Raw genomic sequence first — 26,245 nt, forward strand, 5'->3', positions numbered from 1 at the left:
ATTCTTATTTTGATTACATGTTGGAATGATAATAATTTGGACATATTTGGTTAAATACATACATTATTCAAATTAATTTGTTTTACTTTCTAACATTTCTATTAGAAAAAATTTTATATTACAATTTAAAGTTGCACAGGTTGCCCACATTATGTTTCTGACCTAGAAGCCAGTCTTAGATATTTGTATCTCTATAACTTTAGGCACTGAAGTCACTTTAAAAAAATAAAGGAAACAAGAGATTTCAACTCTAAGAAATGAAATAAGGAAGGATAGACTTTAACTTGCATATGTGGAGAAGAAAGTTCAAGAAAGAGGAAAAAGGGGAGCAATAGAGGTAGGGAATCAAGTGACTGCAGAAAACAAAGAGGATGGATCAGTTGATGAAACATCAATGCAAAATAACAAGAGTACCACAGTAGACACACACACACACACACACCATGGAGCTCCTATCGTCTTGATTTGTTGCCCTATACTGCAAATCTCATATATTTGATTTCCAAGTAAATTTAGCAAGGTCGATGAGTTTGCACCATTATTGCTCAGGAAATTTCTTCCTGTAAGTTTAGATGGACTCACTGTCATGGTACGAGTTATTATTATTAAGTATACCTTCAGCATTTTATATCTACTGAAGTGGTCATTGCTCATATTTTTTGTTATTCTTCTCCGTTGGCATCTTCCATGCACTCTGTATCAGCCAAATAGTCTAAGTCTGAAACATCAAAATGACTTGACAGATCTGCAGGCTCATATCTTGTTCCATTCTAAACCTTCAAAGTTATATGGAGGAAATATAATAAAAATTGATTCTGCAAAGATGTTCAAGTCCTCAACCTTCCTTACATGGTCAGGATAATAAAAAGATATATACCATACCAAAATTAATTTCCACTGCTCCCTTGGCCTTGGATAAATGAAAAACTATAGTTTTTAGTTTTATGGATCTCCTAGCCTTCACCAGCACCAGTGTTGAGGAAATTAAACAATTAATCTTTCTTTTAATTGTATAGGAATGTCAGTCAGTGAAGTAAACACAACTTATTCCGCTCTTGCTCAATGAAAGTTATCTACTGTGAAGGATTAGCTGCCATGTTCAACAATAACGAAGCTCTTGTTTTCCAATAAAGAGGTTAATTGGCTTCAGAGAAAATACGTGTACAGAACACATAGGCCTAATATTGGTTTTGCAAAGGCCCAGTGTGAGGGAAGTTAATGTTTCCTGTTTATTAGCTGTTTTACAACAATCTGCCCTTGACCAATAATTATGCTTACATAGCTGATGCTAATATGTGTCAGCGCAGTAGCTACTTAATGTATCCTCTGCACCTGTGTGCAATTGAGTTTGCCATCAACCCACAGCGTCCTTAGTCCTCACTCTTTGGGTGTTGTTTCCTGTCTCCAAATGGACTAAGCACCTGGATGGTGGAAACTCCAATGTCAAAAATCAGGCTGCCTTTCCTGGACCTGTTTTCTTAAATTCTAAATGTAGCCATCTGTTTTGCAGGTCTATGTGGTTAAAAATGAGAATAAGAAAAGTAGAGGATACTTTCTAAACTTAAAGAATTTTTCAAGGAAATTCACACAGGTGTCCCATACATATTCACTGGGGAGAGGCCTCTGGAGTTTTGAGAGCATACTGAATCACTGTAGGATCTTGCTAAATTGCAGATTTAAGCAGGGCCTGATAATCTGCATCTCCAACAAGCTCCCAGGTAATCCTGATGATGCTGATTCGTGAGCAAATGTTGAGTAGCAAGGCACGGGGGCTCCTTAGGATCACAGCCACTGTGATAACTACTTACTGATGTTTACTGAGGTACGATTAAGTTTTTACTTTCTGAGTAGCAACCACGCCTTCTATTTCCTTTGAAAAGACTCATAAAGCTTGCCTGCAGTGTAGCTCTGGACAACAGAAAACTCCTGGTAACTTTTGTGAAAGATAGATCATTACATGGCAACTCACTGAAACTGATTTTGTCCATGAGGATGCTCTAAGTCACATATAGCAATAGGCATTGGAGAGAAATTTAGGAAACAGGACTTAAAGAAATATGGCAGTGAGTGTTACCAACTGGGACAGTTAGACTCATTAACTCCTTGATTTCCCACCTTTTTCCTTATTTACCTTCATGTTACTCCCTCTCCTATAGATTATTTATTCCAGTTTGCTCACTTCACTTCATTTTGAGAGCAAGCTAACTAGGTTACAAGTGGCTGTTTAAAAAGCATCCCATGTAATAAACATGGCACATAAAGTTCACTGATGTCAAGAAACAAGAATCAGGAGCAGTAATGATCTCTGAGTCTTTGATCGTTTTAAAATATAGTTCCCCTCTGGGTTAAATATTTTTTATGGCTTTGGGAAATATTCATATTAATTCCTAAAAAAAATGATGACCAGGATGAAGAGCCTATATAAAAATAGACTGAAGGACAATCACCAGGCCGATTTTCTTTCATGATACAAGTTTTCAGTGACAGCTCTAAACTAGAAACTTTTCAATTAAGTCCAATCTGTCACGGTGGGGGAAACCGTGTGGCCGGCAGGCCTTGCAAAGAGATTTGGCAGTGAGTGGCCAAGTTAGCATTTCTAACTGAAAATATGCTGTATTTGTTTAAACCATTGCTTAAATAGCACTGTGTATTTTTATTCCTTTGTAGGCATTTATGCCATTAATTTATATGGTATGCAATTAGGCACTGCAAGCTCAGTATTGGAGTCTCTGTTTTTCAGTCTTTCCCCCATCTCTAAGTTTGCCTTGGTGGCAGTAAAACAGAATGATAAAATAATCTTTTCTTCCCATCTTGCTCTCTCTGCCACATAGGGAGAAATTTTTGTCCTTGAGAATGTTAAGTGTCCAAATCATCTCTGAGCCCAGTTCATGGTCAGCACTTGAAGGGAACAGTTTGAGACAGCAGAAGCCTCTTAAACCATCCCACCACAAATCTCTTACAATATAAAAAGACAGGAAATAATGCATCCCTCCCTCCTTCAAACTGTAGTGACATGATGCCATTATTGTAACATAAAGTACCTTCTTTTTCAAGGTTGTTCTTAAGAGCTGTGGAATTGTACGTTTCAAGAGACTGCATTATTAACAAGGTTTGTATTATAAAAAACATACAGGTCATAAATTAATGGCATCAATATCCCCTGGAACTAGATCTTAGCTGTGTTTAGATGCATTCTTATTTATATTGGTCTAATAACCAGGACCTTTCTCTGCTCACCACATTTCAGCAGTTTCGATTGGCTGTATCATTAGTTCAGTAGCCCCTCACAAGGGGCACGTCAATCACCTCATGTTCTCCTTCACCTCTCCCTCTTCTCCGTCTCTTCTGCATTCCCTCTCCCTCGCTGTTTTGTGTTGTGATTTACTTGGGATCGCTTGAACCTTTTTAATAAATAAGGTTATACACAAACCTAAGGTTGCAGGTGGAATCTCAGTTCCTTACACTCTCCACTACTCAATGTAATGTGATCAGACTTAGGAGGGGAGAAAGCCTACAAATACCGATACTTTACGGAGTATTCTTTCAACTGTTGAATGTCCTTTAATTTAATTCAGAAGTCAATCCAATGCATGTTTTCTTTTTTTTTTTTTTTTTTTTTTTGAGACGGAGTCTCGCTCTGTCGCCCAGGCTGGATGTTTTCTTTCCATTTATGAATTTCCACTTTCAGGAAGAGTTTTTAAAAAGTCAACAAACTCTTCCTGTTGTTCATGTGCTGATTATAGAGAATGTGTCTCTGTTCAAGGTTTAAATTTCCTTTTTGAGATTCTCAGTGTGACCTTCAATTATTTCTGTTGGGGCAATGACTAGAAATTCTTTAAAATAAAATAGTAACTGGTTGGGCCATGTGGATGTACTGCTCTGTGGGACATGGAGTAACTTACAAGTTAAGGATATGAGTAACACAGAAGATAACTCTGTGTTGGTGGTGCTGAATTTTGTTAGAGAACAAACCTCACCGAGGCTGACTTCAGCTCTACTATAAACATGCAAAGCAAGAAAATTGCATGTGTTTTGGACATACTTTGTAAGGCACCATAAGGTCTATTTCAAGAAACTAACATAACAACGGGTGATACTAAATGCTACTGAGGAACTTGCAATATTTTGCACATATGGACTGACTATGTGGCAGCATATATAAATATTTCGTTTGCTAATTGCAGTTAGTTATCAGATTGCACATGAACAGACAGAATGACATATGAGAAGTTCCAAGAACATTGTGTAACAGGACATACAACTGAAATATAGTTTTCTCACACTTGGTGAGATTTGAGCTCAGCAAACACAACTTATTCTGTATTCATTCATTAAGATTAAAATATTTAAAAAATCACCAAATTGAGAACATCGTTATGTTGTCATGTTCGAGGACCAATGCCAAAAAGAATGTGAGAAACTAGAGCTTAAGAGCCACCAGCTCACAAGTTGCTTGACATAATTTGGAATCAGTTGATAGTTCAATATCTGGTTTCCCCAAAAATTAAGTACCCAATACCTCTTTTTATCATTTTGGAGCTTAACTGATGAGCTAGTTAGAAAGGAGAGAAAGCAGAAAACAGAATAATTTTTAAAATCACAAAATCTCTAAAAACTGAAATTTCAAGTCAACTCTTTATAATTTTCAAGGCAAAACTGACAGAATTAGAAATGTTTACCATTGGAAGAGAAGCAACCATAAAAAATAACTTAATGCGCTTCCTGTTTTATAGATTTATACATCCATCTCCCATAGATAAAGTGTCTCTCCAAGATCCCAAGTCTAGTTTGTCAAGGATAGGATTCGAATTCTTACCTCCTAGACTTGTGCTTTCTCCAGCTTTGCATGCTCTCTTGATTACTATTAAACCTTTTCGGTTTATCTCTAGAATATGACTTGGAAGCCAAGGTGGTTTTGTGAAATGGGTCTGAGTTTTTCCATTGATGATATTTGAGTTCAAATCCTGGTTCAGTTTCATTGCCTTCATCTAGAAAAATGATAATTAGACCTTGTTTTCAAAAATAATTTTAACATTAGAAACGAAGTACGTACAATGCCTCAAACCTAAGATGTTCTGAAAATGGTAGCTGTTATTATCATTGCATCTTTGAGGCCTGGGTACTTAGTATGGACTCAATAAACAAATGACAGAATAAATGAAAAAAATAACAGATCACATAAGAATGAGTAAGTGAATGAATGACAATAGTAAGAATTGCCACTAAAAGATAAATGAAGAGGCCTGTGAATATTTTCTTTGGGTTCTCTCCATGTATTAGAAATGCTTTGTTTCCTTTTTGATTTCACTCATTCATCAAGTATGTTCTTTTAGCCTCTGTAGTGCTAGAAAACATGACCCAGAAAATTAGAAAATCAAAATGCACCGAATGGCTCAAAAATGTATATCAGCTCAGCACAGCCTAAATTGGAAAATCTAATTGAACACCTATCCAAACAGAGTTTTGTAAACCTTACCTGCACTAACTATTCAAACTCAAGCAGAAAACCTCTCCTAGGAATAGGCCAATTTAATTAATTTTACTAAGTAGTAGAGGGCAACATGGCCTTGTGCCAGGGTATTCCTTTTTACTTTTTAAATGAGTGTACACAAACGTACCCCTGGTACCATTTCAACAACCTCCTTAATCAAACTGCCTGTAGAAACTGGGAGTCTCCAATGTTAACTTTGCTAAGGTGTCTTTAAGACCAGAGAACAAGGAAGAGTCGGCAGTAGTACCCTGGAAATGCTAAATGAAACACTCTTCCTTATGTTCTTCAGAAGCTAAACTTTTACTACATAAAGTTCGAGATGAGGCAGCAGAGTGATCATAAACAATAGCTTTGCTGAGCTCTTCAACCCACATAATTTTCTAGCAAATAAAAGATGTAGAAGACCTGTGTGAGAGGAATATTCTACTTTAAAACGATGTGGCCTGAAAATTGAGGAATAAGTGAGATATCCTTTTTAATACTCCCTTAGTACTCCAGTCTTTTTAAAAAGCAAAGAAGTAACAAGGCAGGATGAAATACAAGAGAGCAAACCTGCATGGAAATTTGTATAAGAGCTTTTAAGAATATTGATATTTTTCTGCTATAGAAGAAATACTTGCACATTAAAAACAATAGGAATGAGAAGAAAAAAATTTTAAAAAAGGGAAAATCCTAAAACTTTATTTCATAAATACAAAGCCGATCTTGGTGGTTTTTTTGTCAGCTTTGAAAAAAAATCAACTTAATTGAGGCATAATTTTCATATAATAAAATGCACCACTTTTAAGTGTATATAGTTCAATGGTTTTTGATAAATGTGTACAGCAAGTAACCACCACCAAAGCAAAAAGTTCCTTCATTTTCCTAGGAACTCAACTTTACACCCTTATCCTTGGCCCTTGGCAGTCACCAATATGCTTTCTTTCTCTCTCTCTCTCTTTTTTTTTTTTTGAGATGGAGTCTCGCTCTGTCGCCTGGGTTGGAGTGCAGTGGTACCATCTCGGCTCACTACAACCTCCTCCTCCTGGGTTCTAGCGATTCTCTGGCCTTAGCCTCCTGGGTAGCTGTGACTAAAGGCACCCGCCACTATGACTGTCTAATTTTTGTATTTTTAGTGGAGAAATAGTTTTGCCATGTTGGCCAGGCTTGTCTTGAACTCCTGACTTCAAGTGATCCACCTGCCTCAGCCTCCCAAAGTGCTGGAATTACAGGCATGAGCCACCGTGCCTGGCCCAATATACTTTCTATCTTTATAAATTGTTTTCCCTTTTGTAGAGTTGCATATAAATGAAATCATACAGTACCTATTCCTTTAGGTCTGCTTCTTTTTCTCAGCATGTTTTTGATGTTCACTTATGTTGTAGTATATATTACAGATTTGTGGTTTTTTTGTTTCCAAGAAGTATTTCATTGTATGGATAGACCACAATTTATTTCTATATTTATCTCTTGATAGACTGTTGGTTTCTAGTTTTTTCCTATTATGACCACAATTCCTATGAATATTCATGCATAAGTCTTCATGTGAATATATGTTTTCATTTCTCTTGGGTAAATACCTAAGAGTAGAATTGCTGAGTTGTATAAGTGAATGTTTAAGCTCATAAAAAGAACCTGCCAAATTTTTTCCCAAGTGGTTGCAAAATTTTACTTTTCCCAATAGTAGCAAGAATATTTTCAGTTGCTTTGTATCTTCAACGACACTCTGCACCACCTATTATTTCAATTATTTGCCTTTTCCTGATGACTAATGATGTTAAGCAACTTTTTATGTTATTGTTCATTTGTACATTTTCTTTTGTGAGCCTTCTGTTCAAATCTTCTGGCTGTGTTAAAAGTTGTTTGCCTTATTGAGTTGTAGGAGTTCTTAATGTATTCTGGTTATAAATTATTTGTCAGAAATAAGTATTGTCAATATTTTCTCCCAATCTGTGGCTTGCCTTTTAATTTCTAAATGGTGTCTTGCAAAGACTGTAAGTTTTTAATTTAAATGAAATCTAATTCATCATTTTTTCTTTTAAGACTCATTTTTTGTCCTAAAAATTTTTGCCTATCCAATCATATAAATGTTTTGCTCCGTATTTCTTCTAAAAGTTGTAGCAAAAACTCCAAGCAATACTTTAACTGTATGCATTAAATTTTAATATGTTTCATTGTCATTTATATTCAATTTATTCTTTGTAGTTAACTTGTTATTTCTCCTTTGATTCATGGCTTACCTGGTGGTGTGTTTTTAGGGCTCCAAAAGTTTAGGAATGTTTAAAATATCTTTTCATCTAGATTTCTAGATTGATTTTGTTGTAGTTAGAAATCATACTCCATATGGTTTCAATGATTTGAAATATTAAGGCTTTTTATGGCTCTGTATATTATCTATCTTGGTGAATGTTATCTTAGAAGAAAGAGACTAGAAAAAAAAAAGAAATCTCAATCTTTCTTCAACTTTCCAGTAGATAAACTTGTTTCAATATGAAATATCAATTATAGATTGAGTATCCTTTATCTACCATGCTTAGGACCAGAAATGTTTTGGATTTAGGATATTTTTAGATTAAGAGATATTTGCATATGCATAGTGAGGTATCTTGGAGATGAGACCTAAGTCTAAACACAAAATTCATTTATGTTCCATATACACCTTACACATATAGTCTGATTAGGGATGCCTAACCCTGTATAAAATGACACAGCATGAAATTAAAATTTTGCTAAATTCATATGTATTAATAATTCTAAGAATATGAAATTAACTTGCAAATAGCATAATATATAGTAAATATTTGAAGATTTGTCTCAGAATAATAAATCAACAAAATGGACTTTGCCAAGTCTAATCTCACATTAAAATGTGAGTATTTTTGGAGAATACATAGCTTTATTCTCACATCTTTTAGTAGTATTACTTTGCCAAATAACCTGTCTTTCACAAAACTCTTTTAAAAAGAAGTATTCTGAACATTTGGCAGAAGTTTTAAACAATATGAGCCCAAAAGAAAGCTTATCTGACCAGAGTAGTTGGGAGCTGGTCAAATATGTTTATTTCATATAATCTTTAATAAAATTCTTTCCATGTCAAGAAAAAATTTCAGGAAAATCAGCTATTATATAACTGAAAAGTTTTATCTCACCAAAATAGTTGAAAAGTAGCAACAATTTGAGGTTAAGAGAGCATTCTACTAAATTCCCAAAGCTTCAGTGATGAAATAAGATTATAAAAAATAATGAGTGGTAGAAAGAAGGATGAATTTTCTACAGCAGATTTTACGGTCTTGTGGGAAATGAGACCATGTCTTCTCCATTACTTGCTAGCCAAGTATACACTCCCAGGTAGCAGGATTTCAGTGAACTCTGGCGGGCTATTAGACAATAAAATGAAACTATGTGCTAGCCAAAAATCACAAGTGACCACAATGGGAAGAGGTTGAATGAGGCAGCACAGCAGGGAACGGTTTGGATGCCATGTTGGGAGAAGAATGTTAGAAGCAAATTTTTCAGTGCCGCAAAAATGAAAGAATAGCACTCAAGTATAAATTTTCTCAGCAAGGCAATTTTACTTCTATAGAAGGGTGCATCTTGCAGGTGGAGCAATGGCAAGAGCACACCTGAACAAGGGAGGGAAAAAAAAGGGGTTTTTATTCCTGATGCAGGTAGCCCCTACTGCTGCATCATTCCTCTATTGGCTACGGTTGGACCACACAGTCTAAGCTAATTCCAGTTGGCTGCTTTAAAGAGAGCAGAGGTATGAGTTGGAGTGGTGGGGTGAGTAGTTTGGCAGGAAGAACGGTTACAGAACAGGTGACTCAGGATGAGTCAGGATGGAGCAGGTGACAGGGGTGACTCAGGTCAAAGCAGGTGACCAGGGGAACAGATGTGAACTACCGATTAGAACTGGTGGGAAAGTTGTTTACAGAAACTAGAGGCAAGGGGGCAAAGAGAATCAGGAAGTTAAACTTTAAAATGGAGAACAGATAATAAGAGAGCTGAGCATACTGACATACTGATTCTCTGAAGAGAAACTTGGAGTTCACTATATTTAACAAGAACAACCTTTGTCTGGGCCTGACAGCTACTGTACATAATTTACTTTTTCAGTAAATGTATCTGGGATTCTTCTCCAAACTATTCGTAGATTTTCCACCATTTGAATATTCCTTTTGAGTCCTCTATTGATGCCATGAAATTATATCTGTTAGGAGTCCACAATATTAAAAATCTTGAGTGGAAAGAGGGAAATAAAAAAGGATCTTTGCTTTCTTTTAAATTCAAATTAGCTTCCTCAAGCCACAGCTGGAATAGATTATTCTTGACCTTTCTTTAAGTCATAATTTATTTCTTTACAAGTCCCCACCATCAAAGTTTTCAGGACAGTAAGAAAAATGTCTGCTTCACAGAGTGGAGGACATGATTTGCAACAAACCATAATGATGATTTGCAACAAATTTGGGATTCTTTCCTCGTAGTTTTTCAAAATCATCAGGCTGATCACAATCATATTCAGCTAGTAAATTTGCTTTGGTTTCATCCTCTTTTACCCTTTCTTCTCCTGATTATCTATAAATTCTGACTTTTTCTGTGACCAACCTGATTATTACATAAAGTAATGCCTGTAAGCTAATAGTTCACATGTTTTCAATGCTACCTGTTTTTTAGAAACTATATGCTGTTGTGAAAGGAAAATATCTTGGGCCCCCAAAATCACTAAGGAAAACTCAAACTGGAAACTGCTTAGGGCAAACCTGCCTCTCATTCTATTCAGAATTATCTGTCTGCTCACTGACATGGATGCCTATCTGATTGCCTCCTTTGTAAAGGCTAATCAGAAAGTCAAAAGAATGCAACCTATTCTTTTGTGTCTCTCATCTGTGACCTGGAAGCTCCCTCCCCACTTCCAGTCTTCCTGCCTTTGCTTCAAGTTGTCCCACCTTTCGAGGCCGAACCAATGTACTTCTTACATATATTGATTGATGTCTCTTGTCTCCCTAAAATGTACAAAACCAGGCTGTGCTCCGACCACCTTGGGCACATGTTGTCAGGATTTCCCAAGGCTGTGTCATAGGCACGTCATCAACCTTGGCAAAATAAACTTTCTAAATTAACTGTGACCTGTCTCAGATTTTCTGGGTTCACACCGTTATTTATGCTCACAACACATCAGCAACCCCATGTAGCTGATGAGAAAACTAAGTCTAACCGATATCAAATTACACGTGCATACAAAAATAGTAATTGAAAAAATCATGTCTTGGGTTCAGGGCTCTTTGATTCCAGTCTGCTAAAAACAGATGTGACTAATTCAGACTTTCATTCACTCATTTGTTTATTCATTCATTCACATTAAGCACCCATTATATAGTAGGAAATATTCAAGATATTCAAGAAATGTAAAGGCATAAAAATGAATTAAAAAACACATTCTTACATCAAAGAGTTCACAATCTTTAAATAATTAAGTGAGAAAAAAGTTTTCAGCCTTGTGCATGTGATGAAATCACCTCCTTTTATTGTTTAATATGCCTGCTTAGATTTGACTAATGTATTTTTTAAAAAAACATTGTGCTGTGTTTTAGGTTAACTTTGCACCTGAAAAGAGAACAGTTACCTCTTAAAATTAGAGAACTATTGTATCTAATTGTGTAGGTAGTTACTATGGGAATGATTTTATGTAAATTTTATTTTATTATATCAGATTAAGCTAGTGATTAGGTAGGTGGTTTGCAGAGATACTAAGAGCCATTTCTCTAAAAGCTAGAAAAAGGAAAGCTGGGAAGTCAAGTAAGTAATAGTGGTTACAGTGTTTATTTTTAAATTTTTCTTTCTTTATTCATTTTTAAAATTTTTTTTTAGAAGCAGCATTTTGCTGTGTGCCCAGGCTGGGGTGCAGTCCTTTAATCATAATTCATGCAGCCTCAACTTCCTGGGCTCAAGCGATCCTCCCACCTCAGCCTCTTGAGTAGCTGGGACTACAGGCATATGGTGACATGGCTGGCTAGTTTTTTGATTTTCTTGTAGAGACAGGATCTGACTACATTGCTCTGGCTGGTCTTGAACTCCTGACCACAAGCCATCCTCCCACCTCGGCCTCCCAAAATGCTGAGATAACAGGCCTGAGGCATCATGCCTGGCTACAGGGTTTTTTAACCCTCCCCAATCTAATGGCTTGGAGTTGAAGTGTTATGAATTGTTATGTGTAAGTGTGGATAATGCAACACAAGAATCCAGGTAAGAGACAGAAACAAAAACAGATACAAGATTAAAGAATACTCAGTGTCCTTTGTACAGAAGGATTGTGTCCTTCCAGCCAGTCTTCCTGTCAGTAAGATGTTGAAAACTCAGAATGCCCATCAAAATACTACATCTGGGTTTAGATCTCAGGCAAATCAAAGTGGAGCAAACTCCTTCGTACTTTGCAAATAACTTATCACAAGAACTTGAGTTCTGGATCCTAAAAACTGGGAAGACTAATAGAAGAAAAAGTAAAGGAAGTAAAGAAAGAGGGTTTCTTTTACCTCTTTTGAATGCAGAGATGATCTTAGGCAACATTTGAAACAGAGTATGCTTTTGTGTTTTTTAACAGTTTTATTGAGACATAATCTACCTACCATATAATTCACCCATTTAAAGTGTATCATTCAGTAGCTTTTAGGATATTCACAGCATTGTGCAAACAACACAACAATCAATTTTAGAACTTTTTAAGAAAAGCACCACAGAAAGAAACCCTGTATTCCTTAGCCAATACCCTCCAATCCCTGCTTGCTTACTCTAGTACTAGCCAACCACTAACCTACTTTCCATCTCTCTAGATTTGCCTGTTCTAGACATGTTATATAAATGGTATCAAAAATATGTGGTCCTTTGTAACTGCCTTCTTTCACTTAGCATGAGGTTTTCCAGGTCAGTACATGCTACAAAAAAACAAAACAAAACAAAACAAAAAACTCTTTATTTCTTTTTATGGCCAACTAATATAAAAAGAAACTTCATTTCTTTTTGTGGCTAAATAATATTTCATTGTTATGTATACAACATGTTTTATTTATACATCCATCACTGAGGCACATTTTTGGGGGGTTGTTTCCACTTTTTGGCTATTTTAAATAAAGCTGCTACAAATATTTAACTCTAAGTTTTTACATGGACATATATTTTCAGTTCTCCTCAGTACATGGCTAGGAGTGGAATTGCTGGGTCATATGGTAATTCTTTGTTAATTTTTTAAGAAACTGCCACTTTTTTCCAAAGTGTTCGGACAATTTAGCATTTAGCAAAGTGCTTCACAAGCATTATCTCCAATGTGTTTTTTAAATTACTTCTTGGGAAAAATAAGTATGGAAGGCAGAATAGCGCATACAGTTTAACTTCTGCTTTCTATGTCCTGACACTATCTTTGGAGAAAGGTGACACTATCTTTAGAGAAGAGGTCGGATTTAGAAGATATGCTTTCAAGTCTCAGTTCCATATCCAGTAAGCTGGATGACTTAATAGATACTTAACTTTTCCTTGACTCAGTGTATGCATCTGTGAAATTGGAATATTGAAGTACTCCACCTGTTTTACATGATTGTTTTAATGGTGAAAAATAACAGATTTGAAAAGATTAATATGCTGTGGAATTGTAGGGCTGCAAAATTATTATTATTATATCTATTATCTATTTAAAGAATCGTGCAAATTTTTTTACTTATACTTAAATTTCCTTGCACTTATTCCCTGTTTTTTAAAAGATACCTGTTATTTTTTCTCTTAATTTTTTATGGGTTTTGCTCATCACTTTCTAAAGAACCCCAAGTAAGGGGTTTGTGATTAATTACACACGATGATGGAATAAAGTATTTAGGGATGAGAGCACCTTAATTTAATAACTGACCTTGATTTACAGACAAAATGTAATGCATTTTAAGGTAGAAGTCTGACTTAGCACAATGCCTGCCCTTCAAATTTGATGTCTCCTAGTATGTGCATTAATAATATGAAAGCTGTCAGTCAGACGGTTCTGATTGAAAATATCCTCCCAGTTGATTCACTGTCAACATTTCAGTCCCCTGAATAAACTCTCTTTTATACACAAAATCTAGAACAGGTTGCTTTCTGTATTTTTTCAAAAGGTTTTTTTTTTCTTTTTTTTTTTCGAGTTTAAACTTTTAATGGATTGAGCAGCCCTCGCCTAACAATCCCAGTGTGCCCTTTGGGGAAAGATTTCCATTTGCCTACTCTTTATAGCAATGCTCCTGAGCCCTCTGTGGCTTGTTTCCCTTGGAGACCATATTCCACGGTTGAGAGACCCTGTGATAGAATAATCTGATGACTGTGGCGTGGCCGAGGTCTGATGTGTAGAAGTCATTGTACCAGTTGACGGTTCGGTTGCTCTTTTACATTTTCTGGAGGAACTAGGTTGGAAAGAAAAACATGGAGGCAGAAAGCATGAATGATTTTTGTAGGTTTGGTCTTCTTAAAGCTGGCTTTGTATCTGTTGGAGATGACAGACGGGAGAGGGCTGATCCAGGAAGAACTGTTATTTCTGTAATTAAAAAGAAGCAGAATCAGAAGAGAAGAGCCATTGTTCAGGCTGGGTTGGAATTACAGTACATGCTTAATTACCAGCCTTTTTTCCTAGTTATTTTAATGTTTTATTAATCCTGTTCCTCAAAATATCTTCTTTCATTTACAACCACTGACAGAAAAAAAAATGTGACAATTTGTTTTCCTTTGTGCTTGGTAGATGGCATTCTCTAACACTATGGGTCAACATGACCTTAACTTGAGTTTTATTATGTGATACCTACAATGGTGTCTTATCCGTGCCTCCTACTCTTTTGTGTTTATATAATTTTTTTAAATTACTGTGGATCAGTGGACCTTAACCCTTAGAAGTCAAAAATCAAATTTTGAGTGGTTAGCAGTTATTTGCTTACATTTCTTCTGAACTGAAATTACAAAAAAAAATCACTTTTTTGGGGGGAGAGAGGGATAAAAAGTGAAGGAATTAATTGGTAACTAGTGGTGTTCATATGAATTCACTTACCATCTCAACTTCAAATAACTAAAACCTTGTTAAGGAAATAAATTGGATGTATTAAGGTGAGGCTAAAGTATTGGAGGATATTTACAAAGAAGACTAATCTACTTTGGAGATATTTTTAATATAGATGAGTTTTACTTCAGTGGTTCTCAAAATGGAGTCCCCATACTGGCAACAGCAACCGAACCTGGGAACTTGTTGGGCATGTAAATTCTCTGGTTCCACCCACAACTACTGAAGCAGAGTTTGTGGAAATGGGATCCAGTAATCTTTTGTGTTAACATCCTTTTCAGGGGATTTTGATGTTTAGGAGTTACTCCTCAGCTCATTGATTCTCAAACTGGCTTTACAGAAGAATCACGTGGAGAACTTTCCAATACATCAATGCTCAGGTTTTGCCCAAGACCACTTACATGAGAATCTTCTGGGAGTTGAAACCGGGCATATTTTTTACAGACTCCCCAATTGATCCTAAAGAGCAGCCAGGCCAGGGTACAGAAGAATATATCTCAACCCTAGTTGCACTTTACAATTTCCTAGGGAGATTTCAAAATGTCCTGATCTCAAGGTATCCCTCTATACATAATTAAACAGGATCTCTGGGGATGAGACTGCTATCTATCAGAAGTTCCTGTAAAATTATCCTACACAGTCAGGGTTGAGAGCCAATACGTTTGCTGAAGTTATTTGAATGGACTAAATGATCTCTCCAGATCTGTTCTCTTGATGCAGTTCTTTAAATTTTGTTCCCACTTAGCACATTTTTCAGTTTAGTTCATTTTTTCCTCTGACTTTGTGGCATTTTAATTTCCCATTGTGGTGAATTAACTAAATGTGAGCTTGTTTTTAACAAAAGAGGAGTCCATGCATGGACCACCATGGATAAAAGGAAAAGATTAGGGTCAGACATGCACAGGTGGTGAAAGCCAACCACATGAGGAGTTTTCAGGTTATATGATAATTGATATAATGGAACAAGCCCTTTCTTGAAACAGAAGCCATCTCCACATTTAGAGCAGAGTAAGAACTTGTCCAGGTTGCCTTCGGAGTCTCTAGCTCCATCACGCAAAAGTGAGTAAACAAATAAAATACAAGATATCCACATCTTTCCATTTTGAGCCCATAGGTCTATTAGATACCAAGCAAAGCAGACTGGTATTGATACTTTGTCTCTCCCAATAAACTAGTCAACACAAAGGCCACCTTAAAATATAATAACATACAACTTTGTTCTAATTCATCATGCAAAGTTCAATGAATGCTTCACAATAGGGAGTTTTCAAAGATTCTTTGATGAGTGGGATGGACTTTCTGAGTCTGATGCACAAACACTCATCTAGGTCATTCATAATTATTACCTCTTCTTAATTTCCTGTTAGGAATCTACTGCCAAACCCTATGTTTTCCTGAGAATGGCTGTGGAGGTCACCATTTATCTTCTATTCACATTTGCCACTACTCCAAGTCTCCATCTCCCAAATCAGTATTACTCTCATCATCTGTTTAACATGCCGTTCTGCCCCAGTGTGTCCTACTTCTGATATCATCTTGCAAACACAGCAGCCAGAGAGAATCATACTAAAGCACTGCTTTGTCATGTTACTACCCTAAAATGGCTCCAAATTTCCTTTAAGGTAAAGTGAAAGTAACTGTGGATCTCAGATTCTCCCTAAATGAATGCAATCCTTCTCTCCAATTTTTATGCTGGTTCCTAAGGCAAACTCGTAGCTCCAGTGAGCTGGTCATCTTGTTCTTTTCCATATATGAAAAAATTCTGTTGTCGTGACATAGAAGCTCAGCTGTGCCTTCTACCACCCACCTAATGTCTTCGTCTATCCAAGTTGTATCTACACTTTTGAGTTCAGATAAAATCTCAAATCCTGCATCATATCATTTGTTTCTCTTTGAGGTTCTCTGAGCACTAAAATTCTCAACTTCTGCATTCACTGGCCTTCTTCTCCTATGCCCTGCTGGTGCACCTAAAGTTCTTATCACAGAAATCAGTCCTTCATTGCCCTTTCTGTGGATAAAGATGCTCTCATTCAAGATAAATTTTACAGAGCTCCTTCTTCAATTTCAAATGTTTCCATTTATCTCCTAAGTAAACTGTAACTTCCGTGATGGAACCCACATTTTCATCCAGTGCTAACTTTATAGTAGGCACGTCTATGGATTTTACATGGATTTTTTAATATTATTTCATCCATTCTTACTAATCTAAGATGTAAATATTATTATTATCTGAACTTCACAGATAAAGGAAGTGAGACAGTGAAGTTGTAAAAAGCCAGATTTACCCTAAAGAAAGAGCTATCAAGTGGAGAAGCTAAAATTCAGATTCTCCTCTCATTCCAAAGCCCATGATCTTTCCCTGACAATATCAAACATCTTCCAAACTATCCTTTAAATCTTTATGACTGAGTTTAAATTATTTAGATGTTTAGAACAAAATACCATTTTGTAACAAGAAGTTTTTTTTTAAATCTCAAATCTTTCTTAGGCAAACAGAATTGCAGTTAAAAAATTAAAAAAAAACATGAATGTTATGAAGTAGAATAAATAATTTTCTATTAAATAGAAATGGCTAGTGTTGATGATCATGGCATGTTGCCAGTGTGTAATGAGTCTGAGAAATCAAAACCTCAGAAGCTGAATCAAGCCAAACCCCTGAACTGGCTAAATGATATATTCTGAAGGATACATGAGGAGGAAAAATGAAGGGTGGGAGTTTTCCAAGGTTAATTACAGAACAATCATCTAGGAACAAGGCAGTGAGAACAGGGAGGTCTGGTATGCAATGTATGCTGAAGGGCTGGAACCAACACATTGAAGATATTATTCAAGTACAGTTCATTATTTAAGAACCCATTGCCCTCTGAATACTTTAAAGGTCGGGGTCAACTTTATACCAGACTTCATTTGCATTCTTTGTTAATTTAGAAATGTTCTCTTGAGTACCTCTTTAAGCCTCTCATTGTATAGTGTATAGGTACTCTATTATAAACATTCAGATTAATCAGCCAACTTTACCCAGGCCATGGTCTTTTTCTTGGCATTGTGCTAGGTGACCCAGAAAGTGCATAAATGTAAGATATATATGATATGATATTATAGATAGATGAATAGATACTATTTATTAAGCATCTATTATATGATCAATACTTATGATATTTTCCATAACCTTCTGTTACATGTGGAAGGTAGAGGGAGTAGCAGCTTCCATTTTACAAACAAAGAAACTGAGGTATAAGATTTTTCTGAATTTCTTAAAAGTCACATTACTGTAAAGTGGCAAACTCAAGATTTGAATTCAGCTCTCTCTCTCTCTATTTTTTTTTTTTTTTTTTTTTTTTTTGAGACAGAGTCTCTCTCTGTTACCCAGGCTGGAGTGCAGTGGCGCGATGTCGGCTCACTGCAAGCTCCGCTTCCCGGGTTCACGTCATTCTCCTGCCTCAGCCTCCTGAGTAGCTGGGACCACAGGCGCCCGCCACCACGTCCGGCTAATTCTTTTGTATTTTTAGTATAGACGGGGTTTCACCGTGTTAGCCAGGATGGTCTCGATTTCCTGACCTCATGATCCGCCCGCCTCAGCCTTCCAAAGTGTTGGGATTACAGGCATGAGCCACCGTGCCTGGCCTCTCTCTTTCTCTTTTAAAACTTGATTTTCTTTTACCTCAAGATAAATTTCATTACGCTGGGGAACAAACAGCTCCAAAATTTCATCACCCAGCAACTCTCCAAGGCAACTGTCCTCTTGTGGAGGCTCCGCATTGCAGGCTGCCAGGCTCGCAAAGCACCTCCACATCTACAGGAACTCTCCAAGGCAACTGTCCCCATGTGGAGGCTCCGCATTGCAGGCTGCCAGGCTCGTAAAGCACCTCCACATCTACAGGGGCTTCCACAGCGGGGAAGAGTGTGGGGAGACACACACCACTCTACATGCCTCAACTCAGAAGGGACGCCCTCCATTTCTGCTCTCATTTTGTTGCCCAATGCAAGTCACATGGAAACACCTAAATTCAAGGAGGTATTTGCTTGTGATATGGAGAGGAGGCAGGGAAATACTGGGTAGAAGAGGACAGTTCCCTGGCAAAAGCAACGGTAGTAGAACAGTGGGGAGAGGGGGAGGGCATTAAGCAATTTCAGTAATTCAGGATGAGATAATTGCATCTTGAGCCATTGTAATTCCACTCTCAAGCCTGGAAACCCATGATCCTAATTAGGAACAGGCATTCTTGTTTTCAAGCCTAAAAGTTGCCTTTTGGCCCGCCCCATTCCCCTCTTCTCTACCCATATAAACCCCAAACCCCAGGCTCCATGAGCAGAAGATAAGAGGGGCAGAAGAGCAGCAGAGTAGCAGAGTGGTGTGGCAGAGAAGGAGAGGAGAAAAGGAGTATCTGAACATCGAGAGGAGTTTGTCTGGGGGCATTCAGAGAGGAGATCAGCAGCAGGAAGGCTGATCTGGTGAAGATCATCTTCCCACTCCATCCCATTTCCAGCTCCCCATCCATCCCGCTGAGAACCACCTCTATCCAGCAATAAAATCCCCCACATTTACCATCCTTCAATTTGTTCATGTGGCTTGATTCTTCCTGGATGCCAGACAAGAACTTAGGTAGCAAGAGGGCACTGAGCCGGCTAACACTTAAGCCATCTGTGAATGACAGAGCTAAAAGAGCACTGTAACACACCCACTGGGGCTTTGAGAGTCACAGGCACCCACGCCTAGATGCTACCATGGGGCCACAGCCCAGAAGCGCTCACCCTGGCTCCTGCACCTGCCCATCTGTGTGTTCCCCCTCCCATAACGGGTTTGAGTATGTGGCAGCTGAACACACAAACCGTGCCTCTGTTGCATGTCCTGTCAGGGGAGTCAGGGAGCTCTCTCATTTCACTTGGAAAGAGATAATGACAAATCTCAAAAATATACATTATACCTCCATGAAATACATTGTATTACAACAATATACCTCAACAATTTATATTCTGTTTCAATTCAATAGGTAGGTAGTAAGTCTTTACTTAAAATGTTTTGCTAAGAGCAAAAGTGATAGGACTTGGTTCCTGATATGAAGGGATTGACAGTCTGATAAGGATAGTAAATCCTATAAAAATAAAATGTATTAACAAAGAAGGACAAGGAATATTTGAACTCAGAAGAAATAAAGGCAACTTGGATCTGGGGATATTAAGGAAGGTTTAAGGCATTTAAATGGTTTTTTTGGAGAATTAGTAGGATTTTATTAGGAAATACAAGGAAGAAAGTCCTTCTAGATGAAGAAAGAAAAGGGATAAAGATGTAATAGGACATTTTACTTGTGGCATAGCTACCAAGGGCAAGTGACTTAAGACATCCTCCTCCTCCATCCCTGGGGCAAAGCAAGGCTTCTTCAGTGGTGATGGGAAGGGACAGGAAATTTGTAAGAGTTCCCTGCCCTGTGACTACCTGCTTTGTCTGGTTTTTGCTTTCACACTGCTTCCATTAACATATTTTTATCATAGCCAGCACAAGGAATATTCTAGAGTATTATGTTATTTTGTGTTTAAAGGGTCCTACTTTTGGAAAATATTTATAAGGGGAGATGACCCTCCTGGCTCCATAAACAGCTACTCATGTGCCCCTTCCCCAACATATTCATTCACTTTTGGGTTTGGAGGCCACTGAAAAGTGGCCTGAAACTGATTTCTAATTAACCAACCCAGGAAGCTGAGAAGTCACACACAGGTAAAGGGATTGGACCTCTGACCAACTCGGAGATTCATGGAGAACATGTCAATGGAATGGAATAGCTATTGTCCCAAAGCCAGAAATGATAACGGAAATTCTAATAGAAAACTTACTATATGTAAACAGAGATTTTGAACTGAAAGGCTGGACTCAATGTCCAAGATATAGGTAATGCATGCGCCAGGTATATACTCAACTACTATGAAATTATTCCTAACTCAGGCCTGGAGATGGGTTATGGAACCTGGAAGAAACGCTCAGTTGTCTGATTTGAAAGTGCAAAGGCCAGTGCTTACTCAGAAACACTGCTAAGTGTCCCACAAAACTGGTGAAACCATTTAGAGGAGACCCTCAGGAAAAATTCTGTGTGGCAGCCACAACTGCCATCCATCTAGCTCAAGTGGCCAGTCACACGTCACACTTCCATTGCATCAGGTTCACATAACCTTCTCATGAAGTAAATTTTCTGGTGATGGAGAGACAGATCGTATAGAAATACATGTGTATAACAGTTAGTAAGTCAAATGATAGAAGTTGCTGTGGAGATAAACATGGCAAGGAAAAGAGGCAGGGCACATCTGTGAGAGTTTACAATTTTTAATAGAATGATCAGAAAAGATCTCACTGAAAGGTAAGTTTGATAAAAGGTTACAGGGAGTGAGGGCGCAAGCCCTGTGTTTCCTTAGGGCAAGAACATTTTAATCAGAGAGAAAAGCAAATGAAATTTCTGCAACAGAAGCATGCATGTTTGTTTTCAAGGAACACTGGAATCTAGTGAGGCTGGGGTGGAGTTAGCAAGGGGAGAGTTTACCAAAAGAAGTCAGAAAGACAGCAGTTTGTGCAGTGCATTATAAAGACTTTGGCGTTTACTCTGGAGATCTAGAAACTTTTTAAAACATTTTGAGCCAAGATGTGATATGAAAAGGCTGACATATTTCAAAGGCTCTCCCAAGCCGCCATGTTGAGATTAGACAACAGCAGAGCAGTAGTACAACGGTGGGGAGTGGGGGAGGGCATTAAGCAATTTCAGTAATTCAGGTATGAGATAATGGCATCTTGAGCCATTGTAATTGTGGAGCTAATGAGAGGTGGTCACATTTTAGATACGTTTTGAAGGTGAAGTTGTCAAGATTTGCCGAGATTTGCATGTGAGATGAGAAACAAGTGCCCAGAATTACACCAAAGTTTTTAGTCTCAGAAATGGAAAGGATAAAGTTGTCATTAACTGGAGTGGGGAAGACTATGAGAGGAGCAAGGTGTGGGGAGTAAAATTGTGACTTATGTTTTTGGAACATCCAAGTGGAGATATCAACTTGATGTGTGAATCTGAAGGTCAAAGGAGAGGTCCAAGCTAAAAATGTAAACTTAGGGGTCATCAGGATGTGGATGGTATTTTAAAAAATAAGCATGGACTATATCACTGAAGAGTCAATGTAATGGGAGAGAGGTTGGAAGACTGAGCCCTGGACCACTGCAATATTTAGAGGTCTACCTAGTTCTCGAAAGTCAGCCCGGAACCAGATTTTACAGGGTAGACTGGGATATACGCCCCATAGTAAGATATCAGTTTAGGTCTTAGTCACATGACGATGTCTGTATGCTTTTACAACCCTAGATTAAATGCTTGATATGAGCCACAGCCCCAAACAATGATAATCAGTAATATCTTTCAAGCCCACCCCAGCCTCCTAAACCCTTAGACCATTTTATATAAACACTCTTAGGCTTTAGCCCAGTTGCCTATTCATAGCTTTAGTCCCACTTAACACTTTGTGTTGTCTTCCATTTATGTACATAGAAATATTTGTTTACCTTGTTTGTGAGCATGATTGTGTAATTGATTTCCATTTTGTATTTTATCTGTGCATGTGCTTGAATCAGAAGTATGTGACGGAATAAATTTACTAGTCCATCTTGACCTCGTCTTTTCATAGGCATTCAGTACAGTTGGCTTCTTCTTTCTTGCTGAACACTTTCTTGGCAATGGCTTCTATTCCACCACATGATCCCCATTTTCTCCTGCTTTCAGGGCTATTTCTCTGGTCCTTTGCTATTTCACTTTTCCTATCCTAGAACTCTAAATGTGGGAGTTTCTTAGGGCTTATTCTCCAAGCCCTCATCTTCACAATCTATACTCTCTCCTTCAACAATCTCATCTGTACATCTGGTTTGAAATACCATTTATATGCTAATTACTTTCATATTCATATCTCCCTTCCCGGCCTCTCTTCTAAACTCCAAACTTGAATATTTACCTACATACACATTTGATTCTTAGAAGCACCCCAGATTAGAGTTGTTCAAAATGAAATTTTTGACCTTTCCTTCCAATCTAGTTTTCTTCCAGTATTTCTGATTTTAGCAACCACCCAGTGGTTTATGCCAGGAAGAAGCATTTCATCTTTAACACTTTTTTCTCCTTTATTTCCGTATTCATATCACCATAAAATCTTGCAATTCAACCTCCAAAATATATGGTAAGCCCATAATTTTATAAAATATCTATGTAAGGCAAAGCCTGAAGTTCTGTGAAACAATATGAAGCTAATGGAGCCTCTTAGAAGTTGCACTGTAAATGAGTATCATTTGATCTTGGATGAAACAAAATAAAAATATTACACCTAATTCCTTTCTTTTGGGATTGAAATGGTAAACTTCTAAAGTTAGAACGGACTTTAGGGGCATCTTGCCATATTCACTGTCTTTGTAATAAAAAACTAAAACCCAGGGAGAAAAGTGACTATCTGAGGTTCCTACAATTAGTAATGAAAGAGGATTAGCACCTACGTCTCCCAATTCAGTCCAGTGCTCTTTCACAGCACCAAATTGGCAGACATCCATGACTAAGCTCTGATAAATATGAGGCTTATGCCATACAAATAGTCTCTTTTATATCTGTTATTTCCTGAAAAAGTAAGACAAAAGTGGCTTTGTAGGTATTTGCAGCTCTGTATTAGTAGGGTGGATTTAGTTTTTGTCTTAGCATAAACATGATTTTACTTACGAAACACTGATCTTAAAACAAATAAGCAAACTAACAAATGACCTAGCTTAAATATAGCTCAGGCTAAAGTAATGCAATTATTTTAGGTAAATGGTATTTGTATATTTGTGTAAGGTCTAAGATTTTGGAAGAAAACTTCTGGGCAATCAATGGCCTTTTGCCGTCTCTACCTCATCTCTTCCTAGACTCCATTACTGCTTTCAGAACTATTCTGTTATAAGCTTTAAAAACAGATTACCATCCTTTATTTGATACAGAAGATAATCCTGTTGATGTTTTTGAAACCAAGTTGTCTACAAATCTGATCCACTTAAATAAAATATGATAACAAAACTGTGCCTGTCAGTCTCTGAAGAAACTGAGAGTAGAATTAACAAAATGTAATTAAGGTAATCCAAGTAAAGATTAAGGCAGTCGATGACAAAATTATTTTCCTATAGAATAGAGTTGTATTTCTGAGTGGAAGCTCAAATTCTCCTCTCTTTACCTTGGTGGAATCCTATTATTACTTTGATTCAAGTATATCTTTGCAATTAAACTGCTATTAATTATATGGAAATGAGACAGGAAAATACTGTGTAGAAGAGGGCAGTTCCCCTGCAAAGGCCCCACACTCAAGCCTGAAAACCCATGACCCTAAATGGGAACAGGCATTTCTGTTTTTGCACCCAAAAGTTGCCTTTTGGCCCACCATGCCCCCCCATCTTGTACTCATATAAACCCCAGATCCCAGGTTCCAGAAGCACACAAGGCAGAGACGAACAGAAGAGTAGAAGAATGGCAGAACAGCACAGCAGAGAGAAGAGAAGGAACATCCAAATGCCAAGAAGAGTTTGGCTGGGGGCGGTCAAAGAGAGATTGGCTGCTGGATAGCCAAACTCCAGAAGATCATCTTCCCACTCCATTCCCTTTCCAGCTCCCCATCCATCGCACTGAGAGCTACCTCCACCACTCAATAAAACCCCTGCATTTATCCTTCAAGTCCGTGTATGACCTGATTCTTACTGAACATCAGACAAGGACCTGGGTACCAAGAGGGCACTGAGTTGGTTAACACTTAAGCCATCTGCAGATGGCAAAGCTAAAGGAGTGCACTGTAACACATGCCATGCCAACTTTGGCTTCAGGAGTTGGAGACACCCACCCCTAGATGCTACTGTGGGATTGGAGCCCCAAAGTGCTTGCCCAAGCTCCTGCACCTACCCATCTGCATGCTCCCCCTTCTGTAAAGGGTTTGAGTGCATAGCAGCTGAACACACAAGCCACACCCCTGTTGCACATCCTGCAAAGGGCGTCAGGGAGCTCTCTTGTTTCACTAATAGAAACTATTAGAGTGAAATCCTATATTATTTTTAAATTCTAAGCTTGAAGTTTTAGATAAATAATATTTATCATAGGAATGGGACTATGCAACTTAGTTCCATTAATAAAAATAGTGAAATGAAGTCTATTTGTTTTATCCAATGTAAGAATGTTTAAGAATATGCCTTTAATTGACATCTAACTTTGGACTTTGGCAAAAGAAGAGTCATTAAAACAAATACTGTTTATGTTGTCACATACCTAATTTTGGCTGCATGTTTTAAAATCATATGGTTGTGGATCATCAGGGTTAAGGGTATAGACTTTAGGTTCAGAAAAATCTGGTTTAAATCTTGCCTCAGTCACTTCCTCATGATTGAACAAATTACTTAATACTTGTAAGTCTCTTTCAAGTCATCTGCAAAGCTGTAATAATTATTTCTCCCTAAGAATGTTACTGTGAATATTCAAGTAGATAATATATTCAAGGTCTTAAGCACAGTACTTAGCACATAGAAAAGGATCAAACCATAAATATTTATATGTGAATAAATTAATGAATGAATGATATAGGTGAATCTTGCTATTTATATTTATGGCATAAAAAGGAACCTGAAATGTAATGTATACATTTTATATCCTGGTGGATTTGTATTCTATTAATGATAATAATAGTGATAGTCACCACCTTTTGGTCTCTCTATTAGTTTCCTGTAACTTCTTTAATAAAGTACTACAAACTGCATGGCTTAAATTTGCAGAAATTTATTCTTTTACAGTTCTGGTGGTAAGAAATCTCAAATCAAGGTGTTGCCAGGGCCACACTTCCTCTGGAGGCTCTAGCAGAAAATCCTTTTTGTGCCTCTTTCAGATTCTGGTAGCTGCTGGCATTCCTTGGCTGGGACCATATTCTAATTTCTGCCGCCAGGGTCACATTGGCTCCTCCTGTTCTGTGTCAAATATCTCACTGTCTCACCTTTATAAAAGCACTTGTGATTGGATTTAGGGCCTTTATAGATAATCCAGGATGATCACCTTATCTAAAAAATCCTTCACTTAATTACATCTACAAAGACCCTTTCTCCAAATAAGGTAACATTCACAGGTTCCCAAGATCAGAACATGAACATATCCTTTTGGGGGCCATCATTCAACTCACTATAGTCTCTAGAGTTTGGCACCAAGAGTCACAAAATGGATATGCTTAGACCTTGCAATCTATTTATAGATATGAAAACATAATCACCACATAATATAGGATGTTTAATAGAATTATTTACAGTGTGCTAAGAGAAGAGAAATGATAAACTGACTAATTTCATCAGTAAAGCCACGGAGAGATTCATAGCAAAATTGCATTTGAGCTGGATTCTGATGGATGAGTAGGTATTTGTCTAAGAAGAGAAGAAAAAATTGTATGTTCAAATCTCAGGGAAGACCTCAAAGTAGAATTCTAAAAATATGTGGTGGGTTACGGAATAACCTGTATGGTGTGGGAGTGGGCTAGAATGTAGCTTGGTAAGATGAGCTCGTCTCAATTAGATCGAGACTTGTATGGCAAGATAAAGGGTTTTAAATATACCTGCAATCAACAAAAAATTCCTGGTACTTTTTTTTTATACAGCCAGAAAATGTTATTATCTCTTCTTCCCATGGAGGTTGGAATGGAGAGAAGACAGCAAGAAGTCTTGACTTTCAGGT

General features: G+C 37.4%; 1 long non-coding RNA gene across 5 annotated transcripts in view, besides 4 other annotated features; it reads right to left on the reverse strand.

Moving 5' to 3' along the window:
* Positions 8,837-10,036: an enhancer, noted in NCBI's record as "P300/CBP strongly-dependent group 1 enhancer chr21:16738058-16739257 (GRCh37/hg19 assembly coordinates)". NCBI's record gives its function as "activates an origin of replication core promoter dependent on BRD2, BRD4, P300/CBP, MED14 and CDK7 cofactors, with strong dependence on P300/CBP, by STARR-seq in HCT116 cells {active_cell/tissue: HCT116}" and the evidence as "EXISTENCE:reporter gene assay evidence [ECO:0000049][PMID:35650434]".
* Positions 8,837-10,442: a biological region, named in NCBI's record as "P300/CBP strongly-dependent group 1 enhancer GRCh37_chr21:16738058-16739257".
* Positions 9,904-10,442: an enhancer, noted in NCBI's record as "OCT4-NANOG-H3K27ac hESC enhancer chr21:16739125-16739663 (GRCh37/hg19 assembly coordinates)". NCBI's record gives its function as "activates a minimal SCP1, AML or CMV promoter by ChIP-STARR-seq in naive H9 embryonic stem cells {active_cell/tissue: H9 hESC(naive)}" and the evidence as "EXISTENCE:reporter gene assay evidence [ECO:0000049][PMID:30033119]".
* Positions 10,443-10,980: an enhancer, noted in NCBI's record as "OCT4-NANOG-H3K27ac hESC enhancer chr21:16739664-16740201 (GRCh37/hg19 assembly coordinates)". NCBI's record gives its function as "activates a minimal SCP1, AML or CMV promoter by ChIP-STARR-seq in naive H9 embryonic stem cells {active_cell/tissue: H9 hESC(naive)}" and the evidence as "EXISTENCE:reporter gene assay evidence [ECO:0000049][PMID:30033119]".
* Positions 12,048-26,245, reverse strand: part of LOC101927745 (uncharacterized) — a 75,707-nt gene continuing 61,509 nt past the window's right edge. For all 5 annotated transcript variants that reach the window (NR_188238.1, NR_188237.1, NR_188235.1 and 2 more), the window contains one exon: positions 12,048-14,009. This is a non-coding gene — a long non-coding RNA (uncharacterized LOC101927745). The remainder of the gene's footprint in view (positions 14,010-26,245) is intronic.

This window comes from Homo sapiens, chromosome 21 (genome assembly GCF_000001405.40).
Source record: "Homo sapiens chromosome 21, GRCh38.p14 Primary Assembly".
NCBI lineage: Eukaryota > Metazoa > Chordata > Mammalia > Primates > Hominidae > Homo > Homo sapiens.